This window comes from Homo sapiens, chromosome 4 (assembly GCF_000001405.40).
Source record: "Homo sapiens chromosome 4, GRCh38.p14 Primary Assembly".
NCBI classification, from domain to species: Eukaryota; Metazoa; Chordata; class Mammalia; order Primates; family Hominidae; genus Homo; species Homo sapiens.
In genome coordinates, this window is record NC_000004.12 from 185,211,740 (window position 1) to 185,231,783 (window position 20,044).

The 20,044-nt window shown below is 43.9% G+C and overlaps 1 protein-coding gene across 11 annotated transcripts in view, besides 1 other annotated feature; it reads left to right on the forward strand.

The window, feature by feature from the left end:
* Positions 1-20,044, forward strand: part of SNX25 (sorting nexin 25) — a 174,406-nt gene that overhangs the window by 7,503 nt on the left and 146,859 nt on the right. The gene's annotated exons all lie outside the window — the stretch shown is intronic.
* Positions 2,141-2,460: an enhancer, noted in NCBI's record as "active region_22250". NCBI's record gives its function as "activates an Ori minimal core promoter by ATAC-STARR-seq in GM12878 lymphoblastoid cells {active_cell/tissue: GM12878}" and the evidence as "EXISTENCE:reporter gene assay evidence [ECO:0000049][PMID:35858748]".

A 20,044-nucleotide genomic window follows, 5' to 3' on the forward strand; every position in this document is an offset into this window, starting at 1 on the left:
AGAGGTAAGAGATGAAGAGGGACTAGTAGGTGAGGGAAGGAAGTTTAGAGGGTTAGGTCAAGATCAAAGTCCTGGTATTGCAGACCATCTCCCAGGGCATTGAAAGCCTCCTGTTGTGGGTTAGCACTCTGTTTCCTGGAAAATGCATTCCCGCAAATCTCCCAGCTCACTGGCACCTCTGGGTAGGTAAAACGTGGATTATCATCTAGAAAGATTGTTTAGTAGAGGAGTTGGAGAAAATAGTATTTTAAAGGTGACAGAGAAAATGAAGCAGCATGTATAAATCTCTCATGAATACTACCCGAAGATTTCAGGTAATAGAAGAGGGGAAGTATAATCTAAGGAAAATGAATATTGGTAATTATTTTTGTCCTTGAATTCCTAAAATAGCCTTAAATAAGAAATTAAGTGCATTAGGGGCTGGGCACAGGTTTCACCATGTTGCCTAGGCTGGTCTTGAACTCCTGAGCTCAAATGATCCGCCCTCCTCAGCCTCGGAAAGTGTTAGGATTACAGGCGTGAGCCACTGTGCCTGGCCTAACCCTGCCTCTTAAAAAAAAAAAAATTTTTTTTTAAATTTTTTAAGTGCATTAGGAAATTACATTCTAAGTTATATATTGCTTAGAACTGAAATACATGTCATTCACATAAAATTCTATTTTCTTTGTAGTACTGGTACTGTTTACTCAAGCCTCTAGTGCTGTATTTCCAATAATTTGTGTGATGTGTGTGTGTGTGTGTGTGTGTGTGTGTTTTTTTTTTTTTTTGCTTTGAGACAGGGTCTGCTCTGTCGTGCAAGCCACCACGCCTGGCTAAGTTTTTGTAGAGACAGGGTCCTCAAGTGATCCTCCTGCCTCAGCCTCCCAAAGGGCTAGAATTATCGGCGTGAGCCACCGTGCCTGGCTGTGTGTGCTTTTTAAATGTTCTCTTCTTTATGAATGGAAGAGTGGGAAGCAGAAGCATGTGGTGTAGTATAAAATATCTACAGTCAGTGCTGTGGGAGCTGGACCACACAGGTCAGCTAACATATGTGGAGGGGGAGGCTGTTTAGCAGTGAACCAAATGGAGCTCCTTAGAATAACAGTGACTGCTACACAAATTTGGATTCAGCGTGAAGAAGAGAATCCTCATTTATCCTTATATATTTTGAGTTCTCCTAGTGTGAGCTAGACATGTCAGACACTGGGATCAGTCCTTCTAGCTGTATATCCTTCCTTCCCTTGTTTTTTCTTCTTGACTTCTTTTGGTAGAGGAAAAAAATGCATACACTGTTAAACATAGGCAACTAGAGAAACCTCACTGAAAAGGGAAAGGGTGTTTTTATGTCTAGAGGTTTTCAAATGCTTCTGAATACTTCATAGTGTAATAGTTATCAAGTGTAAACTGCCTGTGGTTAGGACCTATAATTGACACCTTTTGTTATCACTTACACCTAGCAGGAGCTCAAGAAGTGTTCGCTGATGATGGTGAAGAACGTTATGTCCATTTATGGTCACTAACTTAGTGCTTTTCCCTTCCAATTGAGCTTGTACCTGTTGAGCATCTCCTATGTACATGGATTTTGATTTACTTGGATGAGAATCACTGTTGATTAAAGTTGTAAAAATAATTTTCATCTCAGATAGAAACTTCATCCCAGACTTCCGTGGTATCTTCAGATAGCACAGAAGGTTTTGTGAAGGTCAGGAAGGTTGTTGCTGAAGTCTTGACAGATGATATCTGGATCCCAGTTTAGAAAAACTTGGACTCTTGTTACAGGTGAGCAGAGCGGAGCGGAACTGTGATGCTCTAGGGCCAGCCTGCTGTTGGGGTTGACAGTTGTGAGTCCAGCTTTGTTGTGTGGGTTGTCAGAGTGTGGTGTCCCGTGTCCAAGGTTGTCTTTCTATCTTCTGCCAGGCCAGTTAACTCACCTGGGTCTGAGCCTCAGATTTACTAGCCACAGTTACTTGACCCCAGCACTTGATCCAATCAAAACAACAGCAAGAGAAATAGGGCAAGAATGAATCCATAGTTTAGAAAAACTTACTATCATCATAAGATCAGCAATTCAAAGTACATCTTCTCACAGTGGAAAAGAGGACACCATTTCTTACGTTTTGATGGTAAGAAGGTAAAAGAGAATAACTTTGTCAGTTTTTCTGTTGTGTAGTCTAATACAGATTTTTCTCTTTTCTTTTTACCCTGTGGTTTACTAGATCCTTTTTTTTTTTTTTAGACAAGGTCTCGCTCTGTTGCTCAGACTGCAGTGCAGTGGCCTGACCGTGATGTAACCGAGTACCCCTACTTTCCTAAGAGATGGTTTAATTATTTCTCTCTCTCTTCTTTTTCCCCCAGTTCCCCACTTCCCCTTTAGAAATGCAAATATAGCCTGTTATCTCCCCTTTAGCAGACTCTCCCTGTAGGGCAAGTTCATCTACCCGCTAACATGCCCAGCCCTTAGAGACTTCTTATTTATGTCTCCTAAGTTAAAAAATAAATAGGCAGTTGCCAATGAGGATTGGAGGGCTGATACAAGAAGTCCACAGAAGTTGGGTGTCCTGGGCATGGTGACATACACCTTTAATCCCAGTGCCTTGGGAGACCAAAATGGGAGGATTATTTGAGGCCAGGAGTTGCAGATCAGCCTGGTCAACATAGAGAAACTCCATCTCTACCAAAAAAAAAAAAAAAAAAGAAAAAAAATATTAGCTGGGAGTGGTGGTGCACATCTGCAGTCCCAGCTACTTGGGAGGCTGAGGCAGGAGGATCGCTTGAGCCCAGGAGTCTGAGGCTGCAGTGAGCCATGATCACACCGCCATATTCCAGCCTGGGTTATAGAGTGAGACCCTGTACCTTAAAAAAATAAAAATAAAAAGTTGGGTGCTTAGTAGAATATCGGAAACTAAAGGCCACTGCCATGTGAAGAAAGCATTAATGAAAGACTTCAAAGTTTAGCCGGAAAGTAGTTTAACAAGTTCATCAAATTGGATTAATAAGCATTTACTGAATGTCTGCTACCTACCTCATATTTCTGACCTTGTGAGATAATTTTGTTGTCTAGTTAGTTGCTGAGTGCTAGTGTCAGACACAAAGCATGTGCTCAACAGATGGATTTTTATAAGAACAATTTTAAGTATCCAACTGATATTTTTAGGTCTGAAATTTCAAGCACAGTTTCCTAGAGAAGGGTCAGAGCTTTGCAATAGGTGGCATTAAGAACTAGAATAATGGGCCTGGCGCGGTGTCTCACGCCTGTAATCCCAGCACTTTGGGAGGCTGAGGCGGGTGGATCACGAGGTCAGGAGATCGAGACCATCCTGGCTAACACAGTGAAACCCCGTCTCTACTGAAAATACAAAAAATTAGCCGGGCGTGGTGCGGGCGCCTGTAGTCCCAGCTACTCGGGAGGCTGAGGCAGGAGAATGGCGTGAACCCGGGAGGCGGAGCTTGCAGTGAGCCGAGATCGTGCCACTGCACTCCAGCCTGGGCGACAGAGCGAGACTCCGTCTCAAAAAAAAAAAAATCTGGAATAAAGCTTTCTGTAAGCACATGGCACTGTTTTGGGTGTTGGGTAGGATTCCAAGATGCACAAGAGTACTCCCTTCCCTGCCCTCTCCGGCCCAGTAGATTAGACCCACAGGGAGGACTGGATGGCAGAGATGTTTTTAGAGACAGACAGTAAACACATTCACACAGCAATCTACTGCTCCAGTTCGCTTGGATCAGATGGCTAGGATTCCTAAATGAATTCTTTTACTAATACAAATGTTCTTTGAGTAAAACAAACTCATTTAGTTACTCAAGGGGAAAAGGAAAAGAAACAGGAATTAGGGAGACTATTTACAGCCTCTTTGTGGCTTTTTCCTTTATTATGCTAATGTGATAAACTAATCCTCAGTCATTTGATAATGGATAATGGCATATAATATATTTACTGTCTTTAGAATATTCTTTTGCGTTTTAACTGGGGGATTTCAGTCATGGTGGCCACTGAGAAAAATACTTTTGAGGAAGGTGGCATTTTGAAAACCTTAAATCCTATCTGTGGTATAAGCGTTGTTTTACTTTAAATTCTTTTTTTTTTTTTTTGATACAGGATCTGGCTCTTTCGCCCAGATTGGAGGGCAGTGGTGCCATCTTGGCTCACTGCAACCTTCTCCTCCTGGGCTCAAGCCATCCTCCCACCTCCCACCTCACCCTCCCGAGTAGCTGGGACTACAGGTGTGCACCACTACACCCAGCTAATTTTTGTATTTTTGGTAGAGACGGGGTTTTGCTATGTTGCCCAGGCTGGTCTCAGATTTCTGAGCTCAAGTGATCCACCCGTCTTGGCCTCCCAAAGTGCTGGGATTACAGGTGTGAGTCATCTTGCCTGACTTAAATTCATTATTTTTTAATTTAGTTTTTTCCATAGGTTGCACAATCATATGATTTTAAAAAAAGTGTACAGAAAGGTATACAGTGAAAAAACATCTTCCCTCTAGGCAGCCACTATTAACAGTTTCTGTTTATTCCAGATATATTTGACATACATATAGGCACATACACACATGTATTCAAAAGGAGAAGTTTTTGATACATATAATATTGGTATGTGAACAGTGATTACACATAAAGGAAAGTTTTTCTCTGTATAATCTGTCGTGATGGAACTATTAAGATCAGTCAGCATAAGATGAAGTTGTATATGAATAGTGATAACTTCAAAGTGTGAAGGTACAATGCATGATTAAACCTGGGACAAAAAACAATGCTAATCAAGTGTACCCAGGAAATGACAAAAGTGTGTATTTGGTTTTTTTTTTTTTTTTTTTTTTTGAGATGGAGTGTTGCTCTTGTTGCCCAGGCTGGAGTGCAGTGGCACAATCTCAGCTCACTGTAACTTCTGTTTCCTGGGTTCAAGCGATTCTCCTGCCTCAGCCTCCCGAGTCACTGGGATGATAGGCGCCCGCCACCACGCCCGGCTACTTTTTGTAATTTTTAGTAGAGATGGGGTTTCGCCATGTTAGCCAGGCTGATCTTGAACTCCTGACCTCAGATGATCCACCCGCCTTGGCCTCCCAAAGTGCTGGGATTACAGCTGTGAGCCACCTCGCCCGGCCGACAAAAGTGTGTATTTGAATTTAGCAAAATCATCTAAAGGAAGCAATATGTGTTCTTCTAAGTTTTAAAAACCAACAAAATGGGTCCAGAGTACATGTACCGTTTGAGATTTGACTTACCAGTGAGTATATGAGATGACTCATAGGAGCTAGGATTAGAAAGGTAGTGTTGGCCAGGTTGTGGAAATGCCGTGGAGTAGAACTGAATTTTAGTCTTCAGGCATGGTCACTGTTGGCATTTTCTGAGCCCAGGAGTGATAGCATCAGAGCTGGGCTTTGAAACGTTGAATGGATATGTGATTGGGGTGGACTTAAAAGGAGAAATACTGGCCGAGTGCAGTGGCTCACGCCTGTAATCCCAGCACTTTGGGAGGCCGAGCCAAGGTCGCACCACTGCACTCCAGCCTGGGTGATAGAGTGAGACTGTGTCTTGGGAAAAAAAAAAGAGAAATACTGTGTAGCTGCAATGATAAAAAGTGAGAGTTAATGAAGCTGTGTGAATGGAGACAACAGACAGTACATTCAAAAGTGAGTGAGACTTTTCTTTGATACAATTCTCATTATTTATCATTACAATAGGTTCAAGAATATTCTCAGGAGGGTCCTAACATTCCTTTTAAACAATAAATTCAACCCCAAACCAAAGGATCCCACAATATATAGCAGCAGATGTATCCTAGGAAAGTCTTCCAAGTTGAATGTTCTACTTGGCACCTTCTTAATTCTGGTCATTCCCAGGGGATTTATTTCTCACTCTTGAATCTTCAGCTGCTTTTGTTTTTGAAGCATACGATGTCACATTGGTAATGGTAATTGACTGTTGCCTTCCTAAAAATATCTTAGGCTTCGTTTCCCAACCATATCATTTTGGGGATAGGAAGTGCCCTAGATTCCTTAAAATGTAGGATTCTTTATAGTCAGAATGGTACACGTGGTTGTGCTAAAAAGGTGACGCAGCAAGTTTGGTGCCGAGCGTTCAGGACACAGAAAATGCACAGTGTCTGTGGAAGGCTGTTAGGACTGAAATAATTGCATACCACCTTGCCAGCATTTTTAACATTGCAACTGTACTTTTGAAGGAAAAAGATTGCAAACTCAGAACCTGTATTTTTATCCTTCACTGCTGTAGGTCACCTATGCCACCTAGGTTGCTTGGTTGAATGGGGATGACAGGTAGGTAGGCAGCCCTTCGCAGGGGCACTCCTGGATACCCTAAGGGCCGGGATTTAGGTCTAAGTCACACCCTGCTTTAGTCTAGGAGTGTGTGCTTCTATAGTTTTTTGAGGCGGAGTCTGGCTCTGTCACCCAGGCTGGAGTGCAGTGGCACAATCCTGGCTCACTGCAACCTCTGCCTCCCGGGTTCAAGTGATTCTCCTGCCTCAGCCTCCCAAGTAGCTGGGATTACAGGCGCCCGCCATCAAGCCTGGCTAATTTTTGTATTTTTAGTAGAGACGGGGTTTTGCCATGTTGGCCAGGCTGGTCTCGAACTCCTGACCTCAGGCGATCCGTGCCCCTTGGCCCCAGAAAGTTCTGGGATTACAGGCATGAGCCACCACTCCTGGCCTGCTTCTGTAGTTTTTGTAAGTATGGTGGAGCTTTCCAGAAATCCCAGCAGGTTTGCATGTATGTTGGTGGGCCTCTCAGCCCAGGTGCTGCTTTGGGAGAAGGCAGCTAGGTGTGTGAGGTATGCCTGCTTTGCCCCTGCAGCTAGCCAGCACTCAGCAGCCACTCTAGGCACTTGCCAGTCCTGGTATGTTTGTCAGCCCAGGGTTTCTAGGTATGAGTAGCCACAAGCTGGATGTAAAGAAAAATGAATATGGTAACTCCAAGTAAAATGCTTCTGAAGCAAAGAGGGGAGCAAGGAATTGTGCATCCTTAGGATAAGACACATAACTTGTTTATTAGGCTACTAGGATCTATTCAATAGACTTCCTATTTTAGTGTAGAATATACCTCTTGGAAAATTAGATAAATATTTTACAAATACTCATTGCTACAGTAACCTGAATTTCTGTAGTTCTCACCCACCTGTATATACGGGTGAGTTTACATAAATTAAACTAATTTTAAAGTTTTTTTTAATGAGGTTCTGATCTCATACAGAACCTCATCCTCTTGCAGTACTCCTACCTTCTTGCTCTGCCACCCCATCAGCATTTCTGGGAGCCCACAGACAGTGTCCCATGTATTTGGGGATAATCTCAACTTACATTCTTCCATTCCTGGTGCTTGCAAAGCACTGGAGAGAGGTCCCTGTGCTATGCCGCCACTGCCAGTCTGTGAGAAAGACGTTCCCTGTTGGGGTACTCCTGTCTCAGTCCTCCAGAGCTGAATGTCTGGAGGGCCTTGGTCCGTCTTTCGGGGTTTATCTAAGCCAAGGCCACATGTATGCTTTATAGAAGCTGGCAGGCTAGCCCTGTTTCTCTCACTTAGGCATGTTTTTAAAAAATGTTTTTGGGCTGGGTGCAGTGGCTCACACCTGTAATCTCAGAACTTTGGGAGGCTGAGGCAGGCGGATCACAAGGTCAGGAGATCAAGACCATCCTGACTAACATGGTGAAACCCTGTCTCTACTAAAAATACAAAAAATTAGCCAGGTGTGGTGGTGGGCGCCTGTAGTCCCAGCTACTCAGGAGGCTGAGGCAGGAGAATCGCTTGAACCCTGGAGGCGGAGGTTGCAGTGAGCCAAGATTGTGCCACTGCACTCCAGGCTGGGACGACAGAGCAAGACTCCATCTCAAAAAAACAAAAAAAGAAAAAAGAAAAAATGTTTTCTTCTTATGGAAGCTAAGGAACTTATGCCCCTCCTTGCATCTCCTGTGAAGGCAGCATCTTCTTTTTTCTTGTGGCTTCTCTCCATCTGGCTCAGACTGGCTGCTGGGATCAAGCCAGGACTTTCTCTAGTCCCCAACCTTGAGCTGCTACACATAAGCCACCTCCCACAAGGCCTCTTCCTCTTATGTAAATCAACTCATAAAAATATATACCCGAGGGCTGCTTGCAGGCTGCCAATTTGTTATACATGAAATTAACATCTTAACTGTTCCAGATATTTCCATGTGTTTTTCCTGAAGCAGAGTTGTTAATCTTTTTTTTTTTTTTCTGATTTTTTTCCATTTCACTGAACCTTTCTTTTTTTCTGAAACTGCAACCGCTAGATAGCTCAGAAAGTTGGATGTTTCCCAGATTTGCATTTGGGTCATTCTTGAGGTCTCATTCTTCATTCTGTTACTTTAGGGCAGTCTCAACTTTGGCCTCCTACAATAATCATCCCTGTCTATATTGAGGACTTAAGAGATTTATTCCTGAGGTTCAGATCTAGTTTTGGGCCTCAGACTTATTTATTCAACTGCTTAACTTGACATTTCCACCTGGCAGTCCCAGTGGTACCCGAAGCTTGAGTCTGTGACATCTTATGACCAGTGTCTGTCTCTGTTCCTCTTGTTTCTTTTTTTTTCTTTAAATTTTATTAGTATTATACTTTAAGTTTTAGGGTACTTGTGCACAATGTGCAGGTTTGTTACATATGTATACATGTGCCATGTTGGTGTGCTGCACCCATTAACTCGTCATTTAGCATTAGGTATATCTCCTAATGCTTGTTCCTCTTGTTTCTGTGTCAGTGAATAGCACCTCTGAAAGTCAGGTCCCACAACTGAGTCCCTTTTTTTTTTTTTTTTGAGATGGAGTCTCGCTCTGTCACCCAGGCTGGGGTGCAGTGTGCGATCGCGGCTTACTACAACCTCTGCCTGCCAGGTTCAAGCAATTCTCCTGCCTCAGCCTCCCAAGTAGCTGGGATAAGGGTGCCCACCACCACGCCTGGCTAAATTTTTGTATTTTTAGTAGAGACGGGGTTTCACCATGTTAGCCAGGATGGTCTCGATCTCCTGACCTTGTGATCCGCCCACCTCGGCCTCCCAAAGTGCTGGGATTACAGGCGTGAGCCACTGCGCCCGGCCTAACTGAGTCCTTCTTGACATCTTCTCCTTATACCCCATAGGCACTCCATCAAGTCCTGTCCTTTTACCTCTTTTGTTAATTTTATTTATTTATTTATTTTTGAGACAGGGTGTCACTCTGTTGCCTAGGCTGAAGTGCAGTGGCACAATCATGGCTCACCGCAGCATCAGCCTCCTGGGCTCTTGTGATCCTCCATGCCTCACTCCCCCGCCAATGGCTGGGACTACAGGTGGGTGCCACCACACCCAGCTAATTTTTTTTTTTTTTTCTGAGACAGGATCTGGCTCTGTTGCCCGGGCTGGAGTGCAGTGGCATGATCTTGGCTCACCGCAACCTCCACTTCCTGGGCTCAAGCCTTCCTCCCACTTCAGCCTCCCAAGTAGCTGGGTCTAAGGATGCATGCCACCGCACTCAACTAATTTTTGTATTTTTTGTAGAGACAGGGTTTCACCATGTTGCCCAGCCTGGTCTTGAACTCCTGAGCTCAAGCCATTAATCTGCTTTGGCCTCCCAAAGTGCTGGAATTACAGGTGTGAGCCACTGTGCCTGACCCGGGCTAATTAAAAAAGTTTTTTCTAGAGATGGAGTCTCTCTGTGTTGCCCACGCAGGTCTCAAACTCCTGGACTCAAGCCATCCTCCCACCGTGGCCTCCCAGAATGTTGGATTACAGGGGTGCCTGCCCTTATTTCTTGAGTATCTTGCATTCATCTACTTCTTTCAGTCTTTCCTGCTTGGTCTTAGCTACCGTCATGTCCCACCTAGATGACTGTAACAACCTTTCAATTGGTCTCTGCCTCCATGTTGGCTCCCTCTTCCATTGATTCTTTTGAAAATGCAAGCCTAATCAAATTCCTCTTCAGCAGCATGTTTGTTTAAAATCTTTCAGTAACTTCCTGCTCTTCCTAGCTCTCTAGCCTAATCTCCAGTCATAATTACCCTCACTCCTCATGCTCCACCCTCAGTCCTCATAGTGCCGGGCTTTTTCTGTCTGTAGGGACTTTATATATTGTTCTCCTGCCTTGAGCATGCTGCTGCCCCCTTTATCTAGTTAACTTCTCTTTCTTTATACCACAGTCATCAGTTTTGCAGGGAAGCTTTTCCTATCTTTCAACTTACATATTCTTATAGCACCATATACTTCTCCTTCACTGTAGATATATAGCACCATATACCCCTCCTTCACGGTAGGAATATAGCGCCATATACCCCTCCTTCATGGTAGATATATAGCACCATATATCCCTCGTTCACTGTAGGTATACAGCACCATATACCCCTCCTTCATGGTAGGTATATAGCGCCATATACCCCTCCTTCACGGTAGATATATAGCAGATATATAGCACCATATACCCCCCATTCACTGTAGGTATACAGCACCATATACCCCTCCTTCATGGTAGGTATTCAGCTCCATATAACCCTCCTTCATGGCAGGTATTCAGAGCCATATACCCCTCCTTCGCGGTAGGTATACAGCACCATATACCCCTCCTTCGCGGTAGGTATACAGCACCATATACTCCTCGTTCACTGTAGGTATACAGCACCATATAACCCTCCTTCATGGCAGGTATTCAGTGCCATATACCCCTCCCTCACGGTAGGTATACAGCGCCCTATACCCCTCCCTCTCGGTAGGTATTCAGCGCCCTATACCCCTCCCTCGCGGTAGGTATTCAGCACCCTATACCCCTCCCTCTCGGTAGGTTTACAGCGCCGTATACCCCTCCCTCGCGGTAGGTATACAGCGCCCTATATCCCCTTCGTGGTAGCTATACAGCGGCATATACCGCTCCTTCACTGTAGTTGTCACAGTTGTAATTTTATACTCATTTGGATGGCTCCTGGTGTTTCCTTTTCATTAGTTATTGAACTCCATATGAAGGCAGAAACTTCCCTCTGTGTCTTTAAGGCCTAGTTGGATGATTTAGTAGGTAAGAAGTACATATTTAAAAGAATGAATAACTGGGAATGAGTAAAGCATAGGCATGAAGAGAATGGATTTGGAGTTAGTCATTGGTCTGAATGTGAATCTTGGCTCTCCCCTAATAACTGTGACAGTGGGCAGCTTGCTTAAGGGAGAAGTCTCTTCATCTGAAAAAAGGATATAATAAATACTTTCAAAGGTTCTTTGGAACAATGTGATAGCATATGTAAAATAAATAATATAATGCTTTGGATATGGAAGATGTTAAGTGGTAGCTTTTACACTTACTTTTTACAAACCTTTTTATTATACAATAAAGAATGCAGATTCAGAAAATCCAACCAAATAGATGTATAGATGGATGAATGATTATGGAGAGAAAACCCTGTAACTTCCAGAAACCCCATACACCCCTTTGTATCTCCACCCCAATATCAGCACCTTCTCTCCCACCTTAGCAACCTCATCTTGACTTTATAGGAATCACTTCCTTGCATGTCATTATAGTTTTATCGCTCAAATGTGCATTAGTGAACATAATAGTTTAGTCTTGTCTCTTTAAAAAAAAAAGTTTCCCTTCTATCCTTTTATTTTCTTCAGCTTATCTACTGAAAAACTTAGAGGATTTGTCCTGTAGAGTGTCCTGTAGTCTGGATTTTGCTGATTGCACATCAGTGGTGCAGTTCAACATGCTCCTCTGTGTGCTCTGTGTCCTGCAAATTGACAGTGGGTCCAGAGGCCTGCTCAAACTCCTGTTTGATTCCTTTGGCAAAACTTTGGCTAGTGGTGTGCTCTTAGAAGTCACGGTGGCCGGGGGCGGCGGCTCACGCCTGTGATCCCAGCACTTTGGGAGGCCGAGAAGGGTAGGACCATCCTGCCTAACACGGTGAAACCCTGTCTCTACTAAAAAATACAAAAAATTAGCCGGGCGTGGTGGCGGGCACCTGTAGTCCCAGGTACTCAGGAGGCTGAGGCAGGAGAATGGCATGAACCTGGGAGGCAGAGCTTGCAGTGAGCCGAGATCGTGCCGAAAAAAAAAAAAAAGTCATGTTGTACCTGGTTCTCTTTCCTTTTGTGATATTAGTAGCTGTTGACACTCAATACCTAGATCCATTAATTTATTAGGAGTGACAAGATGGAGATATTTTGTCATTTTTCAGTTATTGACTTAAATACTTTTAGAAGAGTATTGTCTCTTGTCCCTCCTGTACTCTTCGGTTACATAAAGGTACAGTTCGGTAGAAAAGCTGGATGAAACCTTGATTCTTCACTTTACCAGTTTCCACAATGAGTTGGTTCCTTATCCTCTGAAGGTGACCAATTCCCCCATTGTGTGTTTTTAAAAAATATTATTATGAATTCTGGGCACAGTGGCTCACGCCTGTAATCCCAGCACTTTGGGAGGCTAGGCGGGTGGGTCACCTGAGGTTAGGAGTTCAAGACCAGCCTGGACAACATGGTGAAACCTGTCTCTACTAGAAATACAAAAAATTAGCTGGGCATGGTGGCGTATGCCTGTAATCCCAGCTACTCGGGAGGCGAGGCAGGAGAATTGCTTGAACCCAGGAAGCAGAGGTTGTAGTGAGCCGAGATTGCGCCATTGCACTCCAGCCTGGGCAACAAGAGCAAAACTCCATCTCAAAATATATATATATAAAAATATATAGATATAAATATATAAATATATAAAAATATATAGATATATAAAAATATATAAAAATATATAGATATATAAATATATATATAGATATATAAATATATAAATATATAGATATATAAATAGATATATAAATATATAGATATATAAATATATATACATATATATAAATATATATACATATATATAAATATATATAAGTGTATATAAATATATATAAATATATAAATATGTAAATATATAGATATATAAATTTATATAAGTATATATAGATATAAAAATATATATAAGTATATATAAAAATATATAAATAATTATGAATTCATGGGTTTGAACATATTTGATGGGTTTCAATAAGTTGTGATTAATATTTTTTTTGAAGCCTGTGTTATCCCATCTTTGGCCAGTGGGAGCCCTTTTTAGTTGACTCTTGCATCCTTTGGACATAACCCTTGTGGTCTTTGAGTGTTTTCTTGCTATGTGGTATAACAAAATGTTTCAGGCTCATTTTGAATGTCTTCTGCTTATATCTGGAATTAACCATTTCTCCAAGAGGAGCCCTGTTTGTTTTTTTAAAGTGGGAAATGGCATTTCAAGAAGTCATTCAGAGTGTCAGGGAGGCTTGTTGCTATTGGACTGGTCATTGTTTCTTGACTTCCTCTATGGAAGGATCTGAAAAAAATACATATGAGATCTATGTATTGCAAAACACAATCACCCAGTAGTTAGATTTTTATATTCTATGTCTTCTTTTTTTTTTTTTTTTTTGAGATGGAGTCTCGCTTTGTTGCCCAGGCTGGAGTGCAGTGGCGCCATCTCGGCTCACTGCAAGCTCCACCTCCCAGGTTCACACCATTCTCCTGCCTTAGCCTTCTGAGTAGCTGGAACTATAGGCGCCCACTACTCGGGCTAACGCCCAGCTAATTTTTGTATTTTTAGTAGAGATGGGGTTTCACCGTGTTAGCCAGTATGGTCTCGATCTCCTGACCTCGTGATCCGCCCACCTCGGCCTCCCAAAGTGCTGGGATTACAGGCGTGAGCCACCGCACCCGGCCAGTATATTCTCTCTTCTTAAAGGCCAGTGACACTTCCTTTGAACACTGCTTTGTAATCCTCTATGTCATTTGCTTAGCATGGCATATGTTGGCATTGTTAATGGGTTCAGGGAAATCATTCCTGTGGCCCCAGTTTGATTGATTTCACTGTAATCTATGGCTATGAATACAGTGGACAAATAGGTGTATTACAGGAGTTATGTAATGTGAACGTCGTGAAGTGAATCCCTTAGTAATGGGTAGAGCTAAACTTAACATTTCTTGCACCTGCTGTTTGCAGGTGTATTAACTGCATTACGTTACCCAGTTTAATTCTTACATCAATCATGGGAGGTAGGGACTGTTATTCTCATGTTGTGGATGGGAAAACTGAGGTTTAGTGAGGTTAAACCATGTGCTCAGGCTATAAAATCAGTGAAAAAACTAAGAATTAAACCCACGTCTCTCTTAATTAACTCTGGAGTCTACACACTTAAACACTTTATTACCCTTTTAATTATTAAAAATTAGTCTGGCCTGATTCAGATTTAAAACAACTTGGGAAGCTTTGGGATGATTCTAGGATCTGCTTAGGACTTAATGTCACTTCAGAGGTCTCAGAATGAACTTGAATGATGTCACAGCTGTCCCTTCTGTGCTCAGGAGGATCTTTACTAATCAAGTAAGGCACCTGGTTGTGACTGCAGACTCTCTCTCAATACAGCATTCCAGGCAGCCGCTGAAAATTCACCGAGTTGGCACATAGCGTGAAACCCATCAGGCATTTTGAGTGAGAACCTAGTAGAATGGCGGTGGTGCCTTTTGGATTCTGCGATCACTTTTTCTGCGGCTGTATTACTCTGTCATCACTGCATTATAACAGCCAGGCATATACTTTTTTAGTCTCTCTGGTAAAAATCAGTGTTTCCCAAACTGTGATTCATTAACACTTAGTTCTGGGAGATGCTTTTAGGTACACTGCAAAAACAAAGAAGAGGAAGCTTGGGAGGCTAGTTTGGTGGTCACATAAGTCTGAAAAAACTAAATTTTTTGTTGTTGTTTGTTTGAGACAGGGTCTCACTGTGTTGCCCAGGCTGGGGTGCAGTGGCACAATTATAGCTCACTGTAGCCTTGACCTCCTGGACTAAAGCAGTCCTCCCACCTCAACCTCCTGAGTAGATAGGATTACAGGCATGTGCCACCACGCCCTGCTAATTTTTAAACTTTTTGTAGAGACAAGGTCTCACTATGTTGCCCGGGCTGGTCTTGAACTCCTGGGCTCAAGTGATCCTCCTACCTTGGCCTCCCAAAGTGCTGGGATTACAGGCATGAGCCACCACACTGTGCCTTGGAAAAACTAATTCTTAAAGCTTTACAACATGTGTTATTAAATTAACATTGTAAGAAATCCTACTGTAAAGAAATCTGCTTAGCTTTTTAATCCAATGTTTTGTAAACATGACTGATTCCTGTATCCCCTTCCTTTTATTTTTAACAATAAGGAGATGTATTCTCTTAAGAAAGAATACACAGTCCAGAGAGAGGACAAGCTCAGGGCTAGGGCAGGCTCCATGTGGAGACCATTGAGCCTCCAGGACCATTTCTCTGTGTTTTTTAGCCCCGTGAGTCGGAAGAGCTTGCGGGCTGTTGACCAGGTGACTGTATCAGTTTTAGGCACCACAGCCACGCAGGATGATACCCAGAAGAAGAAAGTCCCTTTTTGGAGCAAGGAAAATGTGCTCAGAAATGCTTCTGGCAGTGTTCCCCTCACATCTTACTGGCCAGGTTTGGGCAGGTGCCCGTTTGTTACCCGTTGTTGGCATGGGGGACAGGATTTCTGTCATTGGCCTAGGCCAGTCATTTATCTTTCTTGTTTTGTTTCCCTTACCTCATTGTGTGGAGAACTAGGCCAGTCACTTAGAGAGGAGGGAGGTTGTGGGTTCACAACACTTGGCCTGTGTCAAGGTCTTCAAGACAGGGCTGCCTTACCTTTTTAGCCTTCACTTGTATTCCTCTTCTTCAAGCTGAACTACTTGCTGTTCCCGAGTTTACCATTGGGTGGGTGTGCATTCACCCGGGAAGGACTTTGCCTGCATTTTTGTATGTTCAGCTCTACTTGTTAAAGGTCCAGCTCAATTGCCCTTCCATCCAGGCAGCTTCATTATGTTCTTCGTTTCTGCTCAGTAAGCATGCATTTATTGTGGGCAGGAGAGGGAGAGATCTAGGTAATTCCAGGTTTCTGGCTTGGGGGTTAAATGTGTACAGGTGCCCTTTGTGCAGGTTTGGGACGGTGGGATTTAAGGATGTGGTACATGTTGGCCATGTAGATTTTGAGATGCCTGTGGATCTGTCCAGCTGGCGGCTAGGTCTGCAGGCGTGCAGTTTGCAGGAGAGATCAGGGTTAAGCAGGTCAATTTGTTGGTGGTCAGTGTACACGTGACAGTTAAGGCTACAGGGGAATGAGACTGCCGAGAGCAGTAGGATGGCTGAGAAGCAGCGAGTCCAAGCGCAGGCAAGGGAGGAGCAGCCCACCAAGGAGAGAAAGAGCATTTAGAGGCCGTGAGATGAAGAGAGAAGCTCAGAGAGTAAGAGGGAGCAGATGGCCAACAGTATCCAGTGGGGCAGAGAGGTGCAGAGGGAGGACCGAGGGTGTGCCCCGGACTTGGCAACTGGGAGGCCTTTGGAGGTCCATGCCAGTGTGGTTTGGGGGTGGGACTGGAGAGGTTTACAGTGTGTGGCCTGTGCTCTGTAGAAGCCTGGCTGAGAAGGCCAGAAGAGAAAGTGGTACCTAGAGGGGAGTGTGTGTTATGGGATTTTTGTTGTTGTCAGGGAGAGATATTTAAGCACATTTTTAGGTTAAGGGAAAGATGGAAAAGTAGAGAGGAAGGGCCTGAACATCTCAGAGATAGATTGTAATTGATGGAGACATGCCTGGGGGGCAGGATCAGAGCATAGGTGGGGGCATTCGACTTTAGTAGGAGATAAAAATGGGGGCACATGGAGAGAACTTCGTGGAGGTTGGCAGGGAATTAAGGTATTTCAAGCTGGATAGTCTCAAATATTTTGGTAAGCGGGAGACGAAATTAATTACTGATAGTGAGAACTATGATAACGTGTAGAGGATAATTTTTTTATTTTTATTTTATTTTTTTTAGACAGCATCTTGCTCTATAGCCCAGGCTAGAGTGCAGAGGAGGATTGTGGCTCATTGCAGCCTTTACCTCTTGACCTCAAGCAGTCCTCCTGCCTCAGCCTCCCAGAGTGCCAGGATTACAGGTGTGAGCCACTGTGCTGTGCCTGTACAGGGTAATTTTAAGAGAGGCGATAAAAGGTTTGGAAAAAACATCATTGGAGAGAATAAGAGCAGAACCGTTTATTGGGCCCTCATTGTGAACCAAGCATTTCACTAGGCACTTTACATTCTCATTGAACCTTCACAGTTATCCTATGAGAAAGCTACTGTTATCCCCATTGTATGGATCAGGAAGCAGGTTTAGAGAGATGGGGTGACTAGCTAAAGGTGACAGAGCTAGCTGGGATGGTGCCAGGCTTTCTTTGACAGGAGAGCCAGCCCTCTTGATCTCTGTGCTCTGCTGTCTCATAAGGGAGAAGCAGCATCGCAAAGGTACGTGGGCTGAGTGCTGAGGAGTTAAGGGCCAAGATGTGAAGTTGGAGGCCATGAAAGACTAGCAACGCCCGCGGTGTGGTTGTGGAATTTTTGTAGGTGGAACACTAACACTCCTGGAGTGAAGCAGTGGAGATCTCATCTGTGGGCGTGGTACGACAGAGGGCCAGGGCACAAGAATGTTTAATGAGAGCTGCCCACACCTCATCAAGCCAAGGGAGGAGCCGAGGCCGGGAGGAAGCTGAGAGCTTGGAGAGAAGGGAAGGGTCAGAGGCCTGCGAGGCCTCCTATCTGCTGGCATGCAAAAGCCTTCCATGTGGCCGTGAGAATGGGCGAGCGCCGTGGAGTGGAGATGAGGGTTGCTGGAGGTGAGGAGGTCCAGTTGCGGTGTGGGTGGAATCTGCCCCATGTTCTATGTCTGTTGTCTTTTTTCTCATTGACTGAAGGAATTGCCCCCAGAAGTTCTCTGGTAAAATGTTAAAGGAAGATTGCATTATCCATTATTAAATCAGAGGGAGTTGAGGAGGCTGAGGGTGGGTAGAATGGGTGTTGCCATCTGTTGATTTGCCCACGGCTGTCTCTGGGTGTGCCAGCGTCATTCAGGCCATTCTCTTGTGGCTGTGCTCAGGCACAGTTTTGCTGACTAAACGCTACAGAAGTCAGGTATTGGGAAGGAGAATTGTTTCTTCTTTAGAGGAGTAGGTTTTAACCATGTTAAATTTCCAAGAATGGGTTTATTTATCGCCTCTACATAGTGTAGACCATTCCAGGAAAATAAATGATTTTTGATTCAAGTACTATATTTATTTATTTATTTAGAGACAGGGTCTCACTCCTGTCACCCAGGCTGGAGTGCAGTGATGCAATCATGGCTCTCTGCAGCCTCGACTACCTGGGCTCAGGTGATCCTCCCACCTCAGCCTCCTGAGTAGCTGGGACTACAGGGACGTGCCACCATGCCTGGCCAATTTTTAAAATTTTTAGTAGAGATGAGGTTTCGCCATGTTGCCCAGGCTGGGCTTTGAATTCCTGGCTCAAGTCAAGGGCCCACCTTAGCCTCCCAAAATGCTGGGATTATTGGCATGAGCCACTGTGCCTGGCCTAAGCACTGTATTTAAAACTACCTCTCATACATTTAACTGATTTTCCTTGCCTTTTAAAGTGATTAATGGCTTGTTAATACCATTGTGGAATAAAATTCTGTAGAGAAAGAGTTCATACTGCCTCTTGTCTTTATGAACATACAAATGAAATATTATAATTATCATTTTAGTTAATCTAAAGTCCAAGAATGACTCTACATTCAAACAAACCTTTCTGATTTTCCTAATAATAACACACTTCTGTTTTTTTCAGGAATCATAATTTTTTTTTTTTTTTTCCTCAACAGAGTTTTGCTCTTGTTGCCCAGGCTGGAGTGCAATGGCACAATATCAGCTCACGCAACATCCGCCTCCCAGGTTCAAGCAATTCTCCTGCCTCAGCCTCCCGAGTAGCTGGGATTACAGGCATGAGCCAACACACCTGGCTAATTTTGTATTTTTTTTTTTTAATAGAGACAGGGTTTCTCCATGTTGGTCAGGCTGGTCTCGAACTCCCGACCTCAGGTGATCCACCTGCCTCGGCCTCCCAAAGTGCTGGGATTACAGGCGTGAGCCACTGCGCCTGGCCCAGGGATCATAATCTTTATCATCAGGACCAGTTCGCAGTGTTTCCTAAAGTGTAGTCTGAGGGTTCACAGAAATAATTTAGGAAATGTTGTTAAAAATACAATACTTACTCTAAAGACATATCCTAAATTTTGTGAATTAAGAATATAAGGGAATAGTGTCTAAAAATCTGCATTTGAACAAATTCCCCAAGTGATTCTTGAAGAAAACTGATTTAGAATGTTTTCAAGTTACAGATAGGGGCTTCCTGATGTCAACAAGGCCCAAGGAAACTAAGTCATGTCTAATATTAACATGTATATATCCACGTGCACCAGGCTGCATTGCTCAGTCCTCTCTACTTAGTGGAATGGCTGTCGCACAAAGGCCTGTCTTAATAACATGTTTCTTTTTTCCTTTTTTTTGTTTTTTTTTTTTTTGAGACAGTGTTTCGCTCTGTCGCCCAGGCTGGAGTGCAGTGGCATGATCTCGGCTCACTGCAAGCTCTGCTTCCTGGGTTCACGCCATTCTCCTGCCTCAGCCTCCCGAGTAGCCGGGACTACAGGCTCCCGCCACCACGCCCGGCTAATTTTTTTGTATTTTTAGTAGAGACGGGGTTTCACTGTGTTAGCCAGGATGGTCTTGATCTCCTGACATCGTGATCCACCCGCCTCGGCCTCCCAAAGTGCTGGGATTACAGGCATGAGCCACCATGCCTGGCCAATAACTTGTTTCTTTTAAGAGCAAAATTGGCCGGACGCGGTGGCTCACACCTGTAATCCCAGCACTTTGGGAGGGCGAAGCAGGCAGATCACTTGAAGTCAGGAGTTCAAGACCAGCCTGGCCAACACTGCGAAACCCCGTCTCTACTAAAAATACAAAAAATTAGCTGGGCTTGATGGTGGGCGCCTGTAGTCCCAGCTACTCGGGAGGCTGAGGCAGGAGAATGGCGTGAACCCAGGAGGTGGAGGTTGCAGTGAGCTAAGATGGCGCCACTGCACTCCAGCCTGGGCGACAGAGTGGGACTCCATCTTCAAAAAAAAAAAAAAAGCAGGATTTATTCTTTGAATGTCAACACATTTATTTTAGAATTTTAGATAGAAACAG